This window comes from Homo sapiens, chromosome 12 (genome assembly GCF_000001405.40).
Source record: "Homo sapiens chromosome 12, GRCh38.p14 Primary Assembly".
NCBI lineage: Eukaryota > Metazoa > Chordata > Mammalia > Primates > Hominidae > Homo > Homo sapiens.
The window spans coordinates 105,489,629-105,509,362 of record NC_000012.12 but is presented as its reverse complement, the minus strand read 5'-3'; the positions used below and the strand labels follow the sequence as shown (position 1 = coordinate 105,509,362).

The following is a 19,734-nucleotide window of genomic DNA, read 5'->3' as shown; positions in this document are numbered from 1 at the left end:
TTAATGAGGTATTTTACATCCCTTTTTTCATAATAAGTCTTCAAAATTCAATGTGTATTTGGACTCAATTTGGAGTAGTCCCATTTCAGCTGCTCCATACCCACATTATCATTAGTGGCTATCTGCTGGGCAACATAAACCTCAAAGATGTTTGTGGGAGAATCATTACATGGAGAAGAAGTAAAGTATCTGTCTTTCTGGGCACCCAGTGTCCATTTCAGCTCTTTTTCCTTAAATGTTATCCTGATTTTCCTCTCCTGTGTCATCTGTCCTCCGCTTAACTCATATGCATTTTGGAGGGAGTCGACACCATTTCAGATCCATAGGTCATTATATAGCTATAGACATGGTGAGACAGACAATATAACAGTGGTTGCCTCACCTCCAAGGGGAGAAAGGGAGAATGGAGAAATTGCCAATAGGTATATGGGTATAGGGTTTCTATTTGGGTTAATGAAAATTATCTGGATTTAGATAGTGGTGATGGATGCACACCTCTAAGAATATTCTAAAAACCACTGAAATGTACACTTTTAAAGGCTGAACTTTATAGTATGTGATTTATATCTTAATCAAACGGTTTCTTAAAAAACTCTTGACCTCAGTTCAAGGTCAGGGTTCAAGGCAGAGTTCCTCAAAAAGGTACTCTAAAATCCATCTTAGTAGGGAAAAAATTTTATAATAAACCAATGTACATTTGATTAAAAAAATTCCATGTAAGCTTACAAAGCATTAAAGTTAAAGTATTATAGAAATCCAAAAAATTAGTATATATGCACTCTGGAAGCTTACACCCTAGTTGGGAACACACTGGCAGGAAATAATATAGGTTACTTAGAATTTGCTACGTTTCTACCATATCAAGCCTTTTACCTATATATTATTGTATTTTAAATCTCACAACATCCTCATTTTTGAAAACTAAAAATTTGAAACTCAGAAAGGTTGGTTGAATTTCCAAAGACCATCTTGCTACTAGATAAAACATCTGGAGTTTGAACCAAGGTCTGCCACACCATGTAACCAAATAAACGGTATCAGGTATCATGAGTCTTGGGTGATTCATTTTATGATTTCTCTTACCTGGTTTTGGCCTGCAGCTTCACTGAGCCTTTCCCTGGGATATCTGGGAGACCATAGCAGAGCCCAAACTGTCCTAGTGGGTTGTGTGGTGAGCTTCAGGAAAAACGGCCCAATCCATTCCAGAACATAACGTATCAAACCCTTTCTCCCTGACACATGGGTATACTTGGTCCCCTCTTGTATAAATGGCTTATTTCTTCTTCAATATAATTGTGTGTTCTTGTATACCTACAACCTTTGTGTTTCCAGCAGAGGAATTATGCCTTCAGATTCCGATCCCGTTTCAGATGTGAGTCAAGGGATCCCGGCTGGTGTTCAGCACACTAAACAGTAACCAACATAAATATCCTGGAAGCCAGAATCCTAAGGTTGTCTCCCACTCAGGAGGTTGTGAGGTTTCCGTTGTCAGTGTATGCTTCGCTTTCAAGACAAGGCAAGCTATGTGTGTGCTAAATAGGAATGTTACATGATCCACCACCCCCACTGGTGCTAAAAGGAAAATATGGGTTGAATGTAAGAGGAAAAAAACGGCGCCAGAAAGAAAGAAGAGCCAAACTAAATTTGGCATTTCACCTTTCATTTCCCCCCAAATGCTGCCTATCCACAACCCCAACTCAGTGTCAGATGTTTCAAATGTTTTCATTGTTCCTCCCCCTAACCCCGCTCCAAATCCCAGAAAGAAAGGAGGAGGGGGAAATCAATGCCATACAGATGTGTTTATCCCCTCTTGCCTGGATAAAAGGCTTCTTTCAAGTATTGTGCATATCTTCCAGGCTGAGGCTCTGCGCACTTAGGAATGCCACATGGCAGTTAGGTCAAGGCTGCTTCTCTGCTGTCCTTTTCATGTCAAACCCAAGCTTTTGTTCTCCAATGCTAAGGTTGACAGATGTGTTTTCAGGCAGCCATACGCTGAAAACACATGGCAGACTGAAGCCCCTGGGCTCCTGGACCAAAGCATGGCAATGACACTGGGGAGACAATTCTACAATTTCCCAAGAGAATCCAGAGGCTCCAGGATACCACTGGGGTGGAAATAGGTGAGATAAGGATGATGTAGGCTGGGACCACACTCAGGAGAGAGGGAAGGGAGTAGGAACTTCAGTAAGACCTCATCTCTTCCTAGAATCTGGTCTGTTTGGAGATCCTGGGTCATGATATTAAGTTGTAGCAGAGGCTTGCCACACCTTGTGTTACTCATCTGTGTTTCTCATGCACACATGCAGGTAAACACACCTCTCCCTCCCTTTCTTCTTTCTTCCTTCCATTATTTCTCCATTCTCTTCTTCCTTCTTTTTCCCTCTTTCTTCTTCCCGTTTTCCTTTTATTCTTTCCTTCCTTTCCTTCTCCCTTCCTTTCTCCCTCTTTCTCTATTTTTCTGCCTTTCTTTCTTTTCTACTTTCTCTCAAATGCTTTTTTCTTTCATCTTTCATTCTCTCCTCTTTTATAATAACTTTCCCATCTTCATCTCTAATCTCTCTCATGTCTCTCTCTTCCCACCTCTCTCTCTCTCTGTCTCTCCCTCTCTCTCTCTGTCTCTCCCTCTCTCTCTCTCTGATTTCCTCATCATGTATAGTAGAGATCTGTTGTTTTCACCTGCCCAGTATCTACTCCACTTTCTTTTAGTAACAGCATACTGATTTTCCTTGGGAAACCAATCTCCTCCTTTCTTAATCCATCTGGTTTGGCTGGTCCTGACATCCCCCTATCCTGGTCAGGACACTCAAAGTTGGCCAATCTGTGTCAATGAAATCCAAGTCCAAAACTTTGGTTGTAACTATTAGAAAAAGGAAAAACGAAAAGCACCTGTCCTTCAGGGATCCTGAGAAAATAGGAATACGTCTGGAGTTGCTGGCAGCCTTTTTGCTGCTTCTATTCTTTCTGTTAATTTTTTTTTCTTAAACCAGTTTTAGTTGCTTACTGTCACTTGCAATTGAAAGCAGCCTGATTATACCATATCTCTCTCCTATTTCTTCTTTTTTTTTCTCCTCTTCTATCTTTCCTTACTATGTCTCCCCTCCCGCTCCCTTCACCCCACCCCTGCCACTGTCTGTCTCTCCTTGTCTCTCCTCTGTCTTTCCTCTTTTTCTCTCTCTCTCTCTCTCTCTCTCCTCTCTTTCTCCTTTTCTCTCTCACACCCACCTCTCTGTCATGTGTTCTTACCAAGTCTCAGAGCCTGAAACACACTGAAGTCTCCGTATCCCTCTGCTTTATTAATTCTGGGTTCAGGCCCTCTTCCGATGGCTTTGCCCAGAGTTCTGGGGCACTGTTTTAGGGGACTAGGACTGCTTTGGCTGCCTGCTGAAGCTTGAGCTACTCACCCATCTTAGCAGCACATCACCTTACATCCCAGGTTAGGTGGAATTTTTACAAGTATCTGAGTTTTCCCAGAAGCTCTCGTTCTTTTCTCTTAGCACAGCTCAATCTCATTTCTCCCTGTTGCCTCAGTGGTGGACAGTATGGTTTCTCTGCCCTCCAAGGATCGACACAGTCTTCCTTAACATAAGGGGCCCAGTCTGACAGAGGCATCAGTGTGGCCTGGGTGCTCTCCCCACTGTATTCCCGCAAGCTCTCTGCCTGTGCTCCAGCCAACTTGCCTGGGTCGGGAACTTGCCAGGTGCCATCTTTGTGATCAGAATTTTCAAGAAATTTTATTAAGAACCTAAGGGAAATTTAATCTAGACTTGCAATGCAGTTGGACTCAGTGGCATGCACCTGTAGTCGCAGCTACTTGGGAGACTGAGGGAGGAGGAATGCTTGAGGCCAGGAGTTCAAGGCCAACCTGGGCAACATAGTGAAACCCTGTCTCTAAAAAAACAAAAAATGAATAAAAGTAGCTGGGCACAGTAGCGCACCTGTAGTCCCAGTACTCAGGAGGTTGAAGTAGGAGGATTGCTTGAGCCCAGGAGTTGGAGAGCAACTTGGCGATATATAACAGGACTTCATCTTAAAAAACATTTTTTTAATTTTTAAAAAAACCTTGCGAATGCTATAGAAAGAACACAGATTGAGGGGGTAAAGCAGTTGTGTCACCTGTGTGGCAGAGCCTTTTGATGGTCTCCTTAGATGCATTTTCCCTTCATTCCTCCATAATAGAACCTCCAAATCTTGATTGGGCACATAGCCACCAGAATAAATACTACATTCCCTGAGTTCCCTCGCTGTTAACTATGGATGTATATAACAAAGTTCTAACCAATAGAATATAAAAGGATATGACTTGTGTCATCCTTAGGTGTGTAAATCCTTATGTACTTATGATATGGCTTGTGTAACTTTCATGATGTATTCTTAAATGCAATGCTTCTTCCAATTTCTTTTCTTTTTCTCTTTCCTGTGAGCTGGACTGAAGTTATGATGGCTGGAGCTAGAGCCGCCACCCTGGACCACAAAGTAGAACTCTTGGATTAAGGAGGACAGGGCAACAAAATGGATAGAGCCTTCGTTCATTGCTGATCATGGGTCCATCATTTCAGCCCTAGGCTACCAATGTTTATATGAAAAAATAAACTTGTACCTTATTTAAACCACTGGTTTTGGCAGGGAAGCAGGGATGTTCTCTCACTCATTTTCCACCAACTCCAAATGGAGGAGATCAGAATCTACGATCACTAAGTCCATTTCTGGTCCGAAACACCAGTGGTTCTAGTTAAAGTCATAGATATGTTTACAGAGTGCAGATTTCTGAGTTTAGCTTCAAATTCAGCAGCATAGGCCGGAATAACTGGCACAGCCGAAGGAAGTGTAGGGCTCTGATTCCTTTTCTCCCCATCACTCTGTGTTTAGTGGCCAGGGGGCGCTAAGGACAGGCAGAGTGGAGCCAAAACAAAAGTAAAACTGGTATCACTTATGGAGTCCTTGCCTTGTGCTGAACTTCATTTAATCTTCACAACAGCCCAGGGAAGCAAGTGCTATTACTATCTCCTTTCATGGTCGAGGAAACCGAGGCTCATAGAGGCATGTCAGGAATTGCCAGGATCCAACCATGGTGTGTCTGACTTCAGAGCCGGCTGTCTCCCAAAACGACATCTCAACATGGGAAATCCAGAGATAAAAACCCACCTAGGTAAGCCAGTGTGTACATGCCTATGTGGAAGGGGGAATGGGTAGAAGCAAGGAGGCCAAAGAAGAAAAACTAGCCCATCACAAATCCTTCTTCCATGCCCAAAGCCAGAGACACCATATGCCCATACACCTTTGCTTGAGTATTATCCAGCTGGTGTAGTGGAAAATGACAGTTCCCTGGAACTGCATGGGAGATCTCAGGACAGGACAAAAACCTGGCCAGTGGGAGATACTGGGGCTGGGAAATGAGTCCCTGCCCCCTGGCACATTGAACAAAGGAGAGACACGCCTGGTTTGTCTATAGAGAGCAACTTGCTTTTTATTCCCTCTTAAAATCAATTCAACTCAACCCCATGCCTGCCAGAAATACATAAGGCATGACCCCACCCTCAAGGAGAACACAATACAATGAATATAGCTGAGATATTCATGCATCCTCAGTAGGGAAGGTTTTATTGTCCTCATCTTACCAACCAGGAAGCTAAAGATCAGAGAGATTGAGTGACTTGCAGAAAACATATGGTGGAGCCAGGATTTGAACTCTGTTCCAAAGGCCCCAAAACCTGTACAACTCCATGCTGAAAATTAGCCTCCTAAATGAGATTAGAGTCCTAATCTCAAAGCCAATGCCTCCTTCTAAGAGCAAAGTCCATTTAAAAAAAAAAAAAAGATCATCATTTCTTCCAGCTCTTGTTTGTAGACATCAGCGTAGAATCACCAACCCTCTTGTCTAGATGGTACCTTGGAGAATATCTAGACCAACAATCAACTTACAGTTGAAAAATATGAGTCCTGGAGTGATCACAACCTTACCAATGATCCCACAGCTCTCTTTGGCAGAGCCACCATCAAACAGAAGGTGCTGACTCCTGTACTGCACCAACCTGCTGCTTCTATACTGGAATGAGCCTACATAAACCCGTGGGTCAGCCTGTGAGTTCCAGAATCAGACAATCTTGGGTTCAAATCTTGGCCTTGCCACATTTGTACCATGTGACATTAGCCTCCCTATATCTCACTTTTCCTTAGGCACACTTGGGCATAATCATAGTAACTGTGATGAGAAGCAAAGAAGGCGATGCACAAAAATGATGTGCTTGGTGCCTGGCACACAGTAATTCCCTGGCAAACGCCACTGCGCAGGCCACTCCCCTCTCAACCAGCACATCCCAAACAAGGGCATCAGAGAAGGATACAATTAAATCAGCACATAAAACATGAGCATTTTCCCTCATCTCAAGCTGACAGATGAATACAGCCTGGAGATTATATATCATGTCTCAGAGAAATAATTCTAAACAAGGAGACACTGAGCCAGAGCACTGGAGCCTCCCACCCCCTTGGTTCACCTTCTTATCTGCTAAGGCATCATTCAGCCTGTGCCTTCACACCTCACCCAGGTGTAACAATCAGGTTCCAGTCTTCTCTCCTAAGTGAGTGTTAGGATTTCCAGAGATGAGTGTGAAAGGCATCTAAGCATCTAAATCCCTGGGAATGGAGAGAGAGTGAAGTCCCTTTCTTTCGCTCCCATTTCCTGCCACTCCCACGGCCTCACCCTCTGCACTCTCCCCCAGCCCTGAGCCTTCTCCAGCAACGAGCTTTTGGGAAGGGGGCGCTGTATGAGGAGGGAGAGACTGTTAAGCCACAAATCAGAAAGCAGCAGGGATGGTGCCTGCATATCTCTTACTCAAGCTTGAGAACAAATCCTAAGCACCCCAACCTCTTACAGATTTGGGAATGCTTGCAATACATATGTCAGCTGGCTAGGAGCTTCTGTTTAAAAAACAGTAAAAACCTGCCCCCATTTTGCCTTTGTCTATAGAACCTGCTGCACTTCCAGAGTGGAAGAACAGGAACATGAAGCAGTGATAGGGTGAAAAGCACAGGTGCTGAAGACAGAGAGGCTTTGGTTCGGCTCCCCCACCACTGGGAAGGTGGCCTTTAGGTAACCTACAGGAATTTTTTTTAAAGACAGCTTTGGTAAGATATAATTCACATACTATACAATTCACCCATTAAAAGTGTACAATCCAATGGTTTTTAGGATATTTGCAGAGTTTCGCAAACATCAATTTTAGAGCATTTTCATCACCTGAGAAAGACACTCCATAACCATTAGCAGTCACTCCCAATTTCTCTCCCTGCCTTAGCTATCCTCTCCCTCCCTCTCCCAGCCCCAGGCAATCACTGACTAACTTTCTGTCTCTATATATTGTCTATTCTGAATATTTTTTCCTCCTGTCTAACTATAAATGTCTCCCTATAAATATATCCCTTGACCAATATCTCCCCATCCACATGGATGGGGAACCTTCCCATACCAGAGGCTTGGATGGTTAGGGAGGGGGTCCCACTCACCACCCAAATACTTGTCCTTCTATGAGAACAGCATTTTTAGATTCCACATATAGTCATGTTGTAGTGTCTTTCTATGCCTGGCTTATTACACTTAACATAATATTCTCCAGGTTCATCCATGTTGTCCCAAATGACAGAATTTTGTTCTTTTTTGTGGCTGAATTGTATTCTATTGTGTATATGTAACACATTTTATTTATCCATTCACCCATTGATGGACATACAGGTTGGTTTGGTCCTGACATCCCCCCATGGTTCCGTGTCTTGGCTATTGTGAATATTGCTGTAATAAACATGGAAGTGCAGATATCACTTCTGCATACTAATTTTATTTCTTTTGGATATATACCCAAATTCACTGGGATCGCTGAATTCATATGGAAGCTCTATTTTTCATTTTTTGAGGAACATCCATACTGTTTTCCATAATGGCTGTACTAATTTACATTCCGACCAACAGTGTGTAAAAGTTCCCTTTCTCCACACCTTCACCAACATATACCTCTTTTTATTATATCTATTCTAACAGTAGTAGGATAAGATTGAGACGTGAAGCCAGCTGGGCTTCTGGGTCAGGTTGGGACTTGGAGAACTTTTCTGTCTAGCTAAAGGATTGTAAACACACAAATCAGCACTCTGTGTCTAGCTAAAGGTTTGTAAACGCACCAGTCAGCACTCTGTAAAAATGGACCAATCAGCACTCTGTAAAATGGACCAATCAGCGCTCTGTAAAATGGACCAATCAGCAGGACGTGGCGGGGCCAAATAAGGGAATAAAAGCTGGCCACCAAAGCCAGCAGTGGCAACACCCTCTGGTCCCCTTCCACCCTGTGGAAGCTTTGTTCTTTCGCTCTTCACAATAAATCTTGCTGCTGCTCACTCTTTGGGCCCGCACTACCTTTATGAGCTGCGAAGGTCTGCAGCTTCACTCCTGAAGTCAGCAAGACCACGAACCCACCCAGAGGAACAAACAACTCCAGATGCGCCACCCTTAAGAGCTGTAACACTCACTGCAAAGGTCTGCGGCTTCATTCCTGAAGTCAAGCGAGACCACAAACCCACGGGAAGGAAGAAACTCCGGACACATCTGAGTATCTGAAGGAACAAACTCCAGACACACCATCTTTAAGAACTGTAATACTCACCACGAGGGTCCGCGGCTTCATTCTTGAAGTCAGCAGGACCAAGAACCTACCAGAAAGAACCAATTCCGGACACAAGATCTCATTGTGGTTTTGATTTGTATTTCCCTGATGATTAGTGATGTTGACCATTTTTTCATATACGGCCATGTATTGCTTAATGGTGGGGATACATTCTGAGAAATCCGTCCTTAGGTAATTTCATCATTATGTGAACATCACAGAGTGTACTTATACAAACCTAGATGGGATAGCCTATCACACACCTAGTAGTCTTGCATGTCTTCTTTTGGAAAATGTCTATTCAAGAATCATTACCTAGGCTATATGGTAGAGCCTACCGTTCTTAGGCTACAAACCTGTACAGCATGTTACTGTACTGAACACTGTAGGCAACTGTAGCACAGTGTTAAGTATTTGTACATCTAAACATACAAAAGATACAGTAAAAATACAGTATAAAAGATTCAAAAATGGTACACCTGTATAGGGCACTTACCATGAATGGAGCTTGCAGAACTGGATGTTGCTCTGGGTGAGTGGGTGAGTGAGTGGTGAGTGAATGTGAAGGCCTAGGACATTACTGAACACTACTGTAGACTTTAAAAGCACTGCACACTTAGGCTATACTAGATTTATTTAAAAATATTTTCTTCCTTCAGTAATAAATTAACGTCAGTTTATTGTAACAGTTTTATTTTATAAACTTTTTAAATTTTTTAACTTTTTGACTCTTGTAATAACACTTTTTTTAACACTTAACTTTAAAGCACACATTGTCCAGCTGTATTAAAATATTTTCTGTATATCTATATGCTTTTATCTTTATTCTATACACTTTTTTCTATTTTTAAAATTTTTTACTTTTCTTAACTTTTTAAACTTTTTTGTTAAACCTAAGACACAAGCACATACATTAGCCTAGGCCTTACAGTGTTGAGATCATCAATATCACTGTCTTTCACCTCCACATCTTGCCTCACTGGAAGGTATTCAGGTCAATAACACCCATGGAGCTGTCATCTCCTGTAATAGCAATGCCTTCTTCTAGAATACCCCCTGAAGGACCTGCCTGGGGCTACTTTACAGTGAACTTTTTTTTAATAAGTAGAGGAAGTACCTGCTAAAATAATGATAAGAAAGTGTAGTACAATAAATACATAAACCAGTGAAAAACTCATTTATATCGAGTATTATGTACTGTGTATAACTGTATTTGCTATGCTTATATGATTAGCAGTGCAGTAGGTTTGTTTACACCAGTATCATCACAAACACATGAGTAATGCATTGCACTATGATGTTACCACAGCTACTGCACTCACTAGGCGATAGGAATTTTTCAGCTCTACAATAACCTTATGGGACCACCATCATATATGGAGTACTGTCACTAACTGAAACACTGTTCTGCAGTGCATGACTACACCTGTTGGCCATTTGTATATCTTGTTATGGGAAATGTTTATTCAAGTCTTTTGTCCCTTAATGGGGTAATGTATTTTCTTGCTATTGAGTTGTTTTAGTTCTTTATATATTAATATTTACTGTTGGTTGATATAGTTTGAAAATATTTTCTCCCATTCTATAGCTTGTCTCTCTGGAAAATGTTTATTCAAGTCTTGTCCATTCTTTAATGGGGTAATATATTTTCTTGCTATTGAGTTGTTTTAGTTTCTTATATATTGATATTAACGTTTGCTGAATGTATAGTTTGAAAATATTTTCTGCCATGCTATAGTATGTCTTTTCACTCTGTTAATTGTTTCCTTTGCTGTGCAGAAGCTTTTTCATGTGATGTTTTTGCTTTTGTTGCCTTTGCTTTTGAGGTTATATCGAAAGAATCATTGCCAAGATCAATGTCATGGAGAGTTTCCCCCATGTTTCTTCTAGTAGTTTCATAGTTTGGAGTCTTACATTTAAGTTTTTAATGCATTTTGAGTTGACTTTTGCATATGGTGCAAGACAAGAGTAACTTCATTCTTCTGGGGCTGGGCACAGTGGTTCACACTTGAAATGAGGAGACCATGAGTTTGATACCAGACTGAGCAACATATAGAAACCTCATCTCTACAAAAAAAAAAAAGTTGTCTTTAGCCAAGTGTGATGGTGTGCACCTGTAGTCTCAGCTACTCCAGAAGCTGAGGTGGGAGGATTGCTTGAGCCCAAGATTTCAAGGTCACAGTGAGCTGTGATTGTACCACTACCCTCCAGCCTGGGCAATAGAGTGAAACTCTGTGTCTAAAAACAAATTATATTTAAAAGAAAATGTTATTCTTCTGCATGTGGATATCTAGTTTTCTCAACACCATTTATTGAAGAAATTGTTCTTTCACCAGGTGTTCTTGGAATCTTTGTCAAAAATCAGTTGACTGTAAGTGTGTAGATTTATTTCTGAGCTCTCTGTTCTGTTTCATTGGTCTATGTGTCTGTTTTTATACCAGTACCATGCTGTTTCGGTTACTATAGTTTTGTAATATATTTTGAAGTTTGGTAGTATGACACCTCCCAGCTTTGCCCATTTTTGTTCAAGATTGCTTTGATAATTGAGGGTCTTTTGTGGATTTCATGCCAATTTTAGGGCTTTTTTTCTATTTCTATGAAGAATACTATTAGCATTTTGATACAGATTTCATTAAATCCATAGTTCGCTTTGGGTAGTATGGACGTTGATCTACCAAACAACAAGCAGGCTTTTTTCTTAAGGAAGATGACTTGTGTAACTGACAGTTTCCTTTTCAAAATGGCTGCTAGAAATTCAAGGGCCCAGTTTGGGGCCCTGGAAATAGGATGTCATTAGCCTGGACTTTTCAGTCTTTTTGCTGGCTCCACATTAATCTATATTCTTGTTTTGTTTTGTTTTTCCATAGTACCATTTTATGTATTTTAGATATACTCCTAAGCTTGTAAATCCTTTCTGAATTGAGGCAATAAAAGTAAATAATACAAAACAATGCCTGCAGAATCGTTTTCCGAATTACCAGTAATGTAGGTGAACTTCTCAATATTATCATTGAGTAATACTAAACAAATAGTAGATGTTATTATTTCTGTGGGTTTTCACAAGCATTATCTGGTTTGTTCTGAGGGAGTTGAGGCCAGATTTAACATGAAGAAACAGAAACTCAGATATGTAAAATAAGGAAGCTGATCCCCAAGCAAATCATCCCAAAGTGACGACTTTCCGATAATTTTTCAATTAAATTTGTGGACAGCATTGACTGTAGTTAAAGGTATAGCTAGTAACAACAAATTACTCTGTTGTTGAGAGTGCTGGTTTTTAAGTGACACAGTGTGAAAACAAAACCATGAACTACATTGTGGAAGTAGGTAAGGTCGGAGTTTATTGCCCCACTAAGTTTATTACTAATCAATGATGCAAATGAACCACCCCACTACCAACAACCTCACTCATTATGAAAATCACCACCACCACCTCCACTAAATCCTTCACCTCTACCACCATCACCATCACCACCACCACCTCACCATCACCGCCACCATCACAACCACTGCCACCATTACAACCACCACCACAACCACCATCACCACTGCCATTGCCACCACTGCCACCATTACAACCACCACCACAACCACCATCACCACTGCCGTCGCCACCACTGCCATCACCACCACAATCATTATCACCACCACCACCACCATCGCCACCACCATGACCACCACCATCACCACCACCACCTCCACCATCACCATTGCCACCACTACCACTACTACCACCTCTATCACTGCCATCATTACCACCCACACTACCACCTCTATCACTGCCACTGCCATCACCACCACAGCATCACCATCACCACCATTACCTGCACTGCCACCTCTACCACTACCATCATTACCGTCACTGTCACCATCACTCTGACCTCACTCACCAACTTATGCTCATGATATTAAAGCTCAGTTATGCTTTTTAAATACAAGCAAAACAGAAAGATGACTTTTGGTAAAGCAGACGAAGAGCCAGGAACTCTTTTAGCATAACATCAGTGTAAGTGATAGAAATACCTGGTAAACGCTCTATGAAAATCTAAAGGCAGGGAAAAGAGGAGAGAAGGTTAAAGAAAAAGACATTTTCATCATCAAAGTCGCCATGAGAAAGGACACCACTAGGGCAAGTGAAAGAAAGGGATCTATACCCATGGGAAGTTGGAGGATGAGCTAAAAAGAGAGGCAGAGTCACTCCCAAATCCCTCAATGCTACATGGACTCTGTGAGTGCTGAAAGATGGGACTCAAATGTTTAAAAAAGGGATCTTTTGTGCATTATTCTGAATTATCTGAGTGTGCTTTGCTGGTTAACAGTGGGTGAATTTAATAATAAACTCTGCCAGATCTACCCTCCATCAATAGGATTGTAGAAATAGGATTATGTTTTGGGGGTCTGTCTAGAGGAAAGAGTTCTTTCGATCTTTTAAGTGAAGCATTTTTCAGAAAAGCAGATTTTTCACACTGCCAAGATGGGATTCCTCTTCCTTGATTGGTTGGGATTGAGTTCCATTATCAAAGAATCCCTTTTCATATTCTTGTTTCTGAAGGGGCAGTGGGAAAAAAAAAAGTAAAACAAAAAACTAAAAAAAAAAAAAAGAAAGAAAAATGAAGGGGCAGTGAAGAAGGGGAAAACCCCCATCATATTGATAGGCCCTCAACTAGCTCCAGCTTCCAACTTCACAGATGCCATACCAGAGGGGCTCAGAAGAGAACAGGGCATTTTTCACTTCAAGGCAAGCTGGGTCGTGGATGAACTATATTATCTTAAATGAGTCACTCAATCTCACTCATATTCTTGAGCATGTATAAAAAGAGGGAGTCAGCCTAAATCATTGGGAAAGCCCTCTCCAGCTTTATTCTTCTTACTGAATGCGTCCTACCTTACACTTTCTATTGACCTGTCTTGCTGTCAGGTTACTTGGGCAAGTCATTTTACCACTCTTGGCTTAGTTTTCTCATTGCAGGTCAGAAGCACATACTGGGTTCCTATCACATGTCAAGTACTAGAGATACAAAGGTTAATGTGGTAGACTGCATTCTTGGTCCCAGTTTGCCCTTTGCCATGTGACTTTACACTTCTTTCCACTTAAGGGGCAGGGTACATTTTCCTGCTCCTTGAACTTGGGTTTGGCCATGCAACTTGCTTTGGCCAGTGGAATACAAGAAAAGTGAGGGAATGCTAGTTCCAAGCCTGGGCCTTTTAGGCCTGTGTGTTTTTCTGTTTTCCCTATAGCAGCTCTGCCATCATTGCAAGAAGAGCATCCCAAGCAAGGTTAGGCTGTTGGTCCAAGGAGAAAGGTCAGAGAAACATGGAGCAGAGCAGGGTCTTCCCACTGAGCCCAGGCTCCATCAGCAGCCCTTGGCCAACACCCAGCTGTTTGAGCTAAAAAGTGCTAACCATTGTATACCTCTGCGGTTGTATGCTTATTTGTTATGCAGCATGATTGTGGCAATAACTAACTGATACAGTGAGTTGTGAAGGAATGATTCATGAATGAAGAAACCAAAGGGCATTTAAACTGAGTCTCAAAAGGCATATAGAAATAAGCCAGATTTGGCAAGGAGAGATTCCAGGCATGGAGAGAACAAAGGCATGGAGATTCAAGAGAGCAAGGCAAGGCTGGGGAGTAACAAGGTGACCCCAAGAAGATCCAAGAATGCCTGTGGAGAAGACAGAACTTGAATGACCTAGTTATTTGAGAGAATTGTAATAGGCCCTTCCAGCTATACAATTCTACTTTCTATGATTCTGCTGGCTTCACTCAGTATGTCAGAACTTGACATGGAGCTTCCTACACTTTCATCATCAAAAGCCTTTAATTCTGTTTAGTTTATCAGAGCAAGATCAAAGCGAGGGGCTGCTGCTTCTCCAAGAGGTCCTACTGACAATCTTTCCAGGTTTTTGCACAGGCATTCCCTGGTCTGTCTCATTTGTCTTTTAGAGTACATCTTCCCCCAGCTTGCAGGTCTCTACCAGTGTTCTTAGCACCTTATCTTTTCCTCATTGTGGCATTTATCTCCCTGTTTTGTAATTGCCAGTTTACTTATTTTCCCCCACTAACGTTCAGCCTCTTAACCATAGGGACTAGTGTCTCATCCACTCTTGTAATGGAAGCCCCTTACACACACAGTGCCTGCACTGGAGCAAGAACTCCATACACATTTGTTGAAATGGTCTGGGTGGGCCTGAAGCTCCCACCGAGAGCAGCCTCTGATGTCGACCTGGGTTCATAGCATTATCTAGCCTGCTCCTTTTTTTTTTTTTTTTTTTGTGATGGAGTCTCGTTCTGTCACCTATGCTGGCATGCAGTGGCATGATCTCGGCTCACTGCAACCTCCACCTCGCAGATTCAAGCGATTCTCCTGCCTCAGCCTCCTGAGTAGCTGGGACTACAGGTGCACGCCACCACACCCAGCTAATTTTTGTATTTTTAGTGGAGATGGGGTTCCACCATGTTGGCCAGGATGGTCTCAATCTCTTGACCTCCTGATCCACCTGCCTCGGCCTCCCAAAGTGCTGGAATTACAGGCGTGAGCCACCGCACCCAGCCTAGCCTGCTCTTTAAATAGACCAAATATTTATTGCCCTTCTTAAATAGTTTTAAAACAATACAACTCAAAATAAAGTTTGACGGTGGTGGCTTCCCATAGGAAAGAAAACAATATTTTTCTAGAGAAATCCACAGATTATTAGTAGCATGAGCCAGGAGTTCATGTAATCTCCGCAAGGACCCTCTGAGATGTTGCTTGCCATTTTGACAGCCAAAAAACAGAGCCTCAGAAGAATCTGAGTAATCACCCAAGTCTCACTGCTAGTAAGTGGCAAAGCTGGGGTGCAACCAAGGCCCAAATCAGAAGCTTCCCATTTATTACTCTTAATGGCAAAACCATAATTACTTTTGCACCAACCTAGTATATGCCTCTGTCTTGGGGCTAATGGCCATGCTCACAGGATACCCTTGCCTGGAGAAGGAAGGCCTCAGTGAGAAAACTTCCTACTTATCTGGCCCTTAAAAACAATTTCGAGACCATCTCCCTCAATAGTTTCATTAAAGAAGGGGAGGAAAGCACATAGCAAATTGAAGAGTGGCAGGGTCTCTAAAAGTCAAATTTCTGCCATTCTTGCTTTGGGGGTTGTGAAATCCCTGGTGACCTATAGCAGATCCCTGCATTCCAGCAAGTGCGTAATGAAAACAGCCTGGTCTCTCTATGTGGGTCTACAAGAGTGCAGAGCTCTCCCCAAAGTCAAGAGTTATGTTATTTCTCAGCCACTCACAGAAAGTCAAATCAGGCTGCCTCCGGAAAAAGTGAGGGGCCACCATGGAGGACGTCCTTCCTTTGAGCCAGATTCCCATCCCGTGAAACTCCATGTGAGATGCCCTTGGGAATCATTCATTGTTTGGAATTTAAACATCTCATACTTTTCCTAGACGTGGAGAAAGTATTTTTTAGGTATGCCAAGAATTAACCAGCAAGGGCATCCATTTAATTGTATTTGAAACAGAAGCTAATGTTGTTAGCGCACCAGCCACGTTTGCCGATAGCATGAGGCAAAGAAGGACAGTCGGGGGAAATTATAAAAATATTTGAGAGGAGAACCTACTTTAAGCAGAAGTACCTGGGGACAAAAGTGCTAAAATGGTCATTGTTATACTGCATTCATCTTTTTGTTAGCAGGCAAGAAACCTCACTTTCTGTCTACATTCACTGTATTGTTGCGACACCTTTGATCTCCCAAATCAGCAAGAATCCCAAAGGGAAGCTAGCAGTGGTTTTGATTATTATCTTTAAAGTCTAAAATTCCTTAGGTGAAATTCAGTATGAAACGCATCCATGCAATGGGGAAGGTGAGTGGCTGTGTCAACATCTGGGTCTTATTAAGGAGCAGCTATTTTCACTAGGCAGTGAACTGGAGAAACCAAATTCCTTGATAAAGCTAGAAATTTCCAGGAACTGCTTGTAAAAGGCATTTCTTCTGTCTGGTTATTTTGTATAACACACAGCACTGTGAGTTCCTGCCCAGCCAAGCCTTGGGGATAAAAGGCATTATCTATTTGTCGAGTTGTCTCTAAAGCTTTAATGCTCTGGTTCACTGTTTGGTTTTGACCTTTGTAGAACACTATGCAATTTACAACACCTTTCCACATACCTCCTGCCTTTTGATCTCCATAGCAGCCCTGAGAAGGGGCAGAGGCAGATGCTGTCCTCATTTTACAGTTGGAGAAACTGAGGCCGAGAGAGATTCTGTGATTTGGGCAAAGCTGGTGAGACAGTGCTTACCTTCAGTGAGCAGGTGAATCATCTGGAGATCTAAGTAAGATGAAGATTCTGATCCAGTCAGTCTGGGGTGGAGCTCAGATCCTGTATTTCTAACAGCTCCCAAGTGAGGCTAAGGCTGTTGGTCCGTGGACCACACTTTAAGTAGCAAAAAGATGAGAGGCAGATTCAGGGCTCAAAATGGAGTCTTGAGTTTCCAAGCTATTATACTAAATCATGTTGCTTATGTAAATATTGAGGTGTAAGTTCTACAGAGCCTAACTCTCTGGGTTTAAAACCTACCACTGGCACCTGTTAGCCTTACGCAGTTGTCCTAATCTCTCTATGCATCCTTTTATCATCTGCAAAAAGGAGGTGGGGACAGGGAAATGGTAACAACATTCCACAGGATTGTTACTGAGAATTAAAGGCAATAATGCATTAAAACAGAACAGCATCTGGCACGTAGTACGAGCTTAGTAAACGTTACCTTTTTTTTATTACTTATTAACCAGGTTATAGTCAAGCCCTAATTGCAGAGTCTCTCTCAGAGCCTCAGTTTGCTAATCTGCAAAATAAGAAAAATAAAAGATAATTCCTAGGTTCCTCAGAAAACCAAGCAATCCCACTTTGGGGTGTATAATCCAAAAGAAAGGAACTTAATATGATAAAGAAATATCTACACTCCCACATTTATTTGGCTATTCACAATAGTCAAAATATGGAAGCAACCTACATGTCCATTATCAATGAATGGATTAAAAAAAAGTAATATGCTGACACAATTGAATTCTATGCAGCCTTTTAAAAGGAGGAAATTCTGTCATTTGTGAAAACACAGATGAACCTGGGGAACATCAGGCTAAGTGAAATAAACCAGACATAGAAAAATGAATACTGCATGATGTCCATCACTTACGTGTAGCATTTTAAAAAGTCAAATTCATAGAAGTATACAGAAGAATGGTGGTTACCAGGAGCTGGGGGACGAGGGCGAATGGAGAAAGGGGATATGTTGGTCAAAAGACACAGAATTTCAGTTAGACAGGAGGAATAAGCTTTCAGGATCTTTTGCACAGAATGGTGATTATAATAAATAATAATGTACTGTATATTTCAAAATTACTAAAATAGTAGATTTTAGATGTTTTCACCAAAAAAAGATATGTGAGGTGATGAAATTGTTAATTAGCTTGATTTAGTCATTTCATAATATAAACATATATCAAAACATCACATCATATCCCATAAATATATAGTACTTATAATTATTTGTCAATTAAAAATAAAATTTACAGGCTGGGCACAGTGGCTCACACCTATAATCCTTTGGGAGGCCAAGGTGGGAGGGTCACTTGAGGTCAGGAGTTTGAGACCAGCCTGGTCAACATGGCAAAACTCCATCTCTACTAAAAATAGAAAAATTAGCAGGGCATGGTGGCAGGTTCCTATAATCCCAGCTACTTGGGAGGCTGAGGCAGGAGAATCACTTGAACCCAGGAGGTGGAGGTTGCACTGAGCTGAGATCACACCACTGCACTCCAGCCTGGGCATCAGAGCAAGACTCCATCTCAAAAAAATAATAATAAAGTAAAATTTATAAAAGTCAGCTCCTAGGAGGTGTTGTGAAGAACAAAAAATATAATGAATATAAAGTTGTTTGTAATGATTCATGCCACATGCACACAAAAATTGTTGTTGTTGAATCTGCTCAGGCTCTTGTAGCCCAGAGTATCTAAGATGCCACTCACAGGGCAGGTTTGTGAGGTCACTGAACTTGCTAATAACTGTACAAAACCTGTTACCCTTTCCCCCACCCAAAGAGCTTCAGTTCCTTGAAGAGTCTTATGCCTCTTTGCAACCATGGTGTTTAGCATAAAACCTGGGGCAGAGGAGGTGCTCACTCAAAGCGTTTTGGTAATAGATTTGAAATAGCTGCCCACTTCCCCAAATCTACACCTGGGACCAAGGGAGGAAGGAGCTTTCATTTGGCCTATCCTGTTGGTGACAAAAATGGCTTTAAATACTTTTAGAGCTAAAGTCCTTTGTATTCTTTCATACCAAGGCTACAGAAACTCCCAATCTAATCTCAGATCCTCCAGACAAAATATGGAAAGGGGACTTTTCCATTGTCCTTTATAGATTCACTCTCCCTCTTTTCCTTCATCAGCGCTTTGAATTAACTCAAGGGAGAAAAAGAATCTGCTGACTTTCTGTTTTCTCCAAATGGAAATCTCAAAAAAAAAAAAAAAAAGAAGGGTAGGAAGAAAGATTGTCAACCAAGTGGAAACACAGTCACCATCAAAATTCTGTAACAAGAAATGCCTCAGCAGATGAGCTCTTTGTAAAATGAAGAGGCCTTCTACACCAAGATATGGATGTTTGAGATCTAGCTTCATATGCATTGCAAATCTGACACTCCTACATATATTTAGGCACAAAACAAGAGATTCCATTATATATAATCCAGTGTTAATCATTTGCCATATCAGAAAGGTAAAGGACAATTCATTCACGCATCCATTCATTTAACAATTATTAATTGAGCACTGTGCTAGCTGAACAATTCAGATTTGTTGCATGAACTCCCAGAAATTATAGTCTGTGGGAGATGTGAACTTATAATTAGGTAATTACAATAGACTGTGTAAGTACAATGATAGAGAAGTGCAGACTGCTACAAAGTTTAACCATTTTAATATAACAATACTAAACATGCACATATTTACTAAAATAATCTCAAATTATATAGATCAAAAATTAATAGAACTATGGGGAGAAAATCAGCAAAACCATCATCTCAATGATTGATTGATCAAGCAAAT

At 41.5% G+C, this 19,734-nt stretch overlaps 1 long non-coding RNA gene across 2 annotated transcripts in view, besides 1 other annotated feature; it reads right to left on the bottom strand.

The window, feature by feature from the left end:
* The window catches only part of LOC105369958 (uncharacterized), a 60,334-nt gene extending 40,673 nt beyond the window's left edge, over nucleotides 1–19,661 (bottom strand). For both annotated transcript variants that reach the window (XR_007063438.1, XR_001749300.2), the window contains exon 1: nucleotides 16,934–19,661. This is a non-coding gene — a long non-coding RNA (uncharacterized LOC105369958). The remainder of the gene's footprint in view (nucleotides 1–16,933) is intronic.
* Nucleotides 4,738–5,032: an enhancer, noted in NCBI's record as "tiled region #9585; HepG2 Activating non-DNase unmatched - State 13:Ctcf". NCBI's record gives its function as "activates a minimal TATA promoter and a strong SV40 promoter by Sharpr-MPRA in HepG2 cells {active_cell/tissue: HepG2}" and the evidence as "EXISTENCE:reporter gene assay evidence [ECO:0000049][PMID:27701403]".
* Nucleotides 19,662–19,734: the final 73 nt, after the last annotated feature.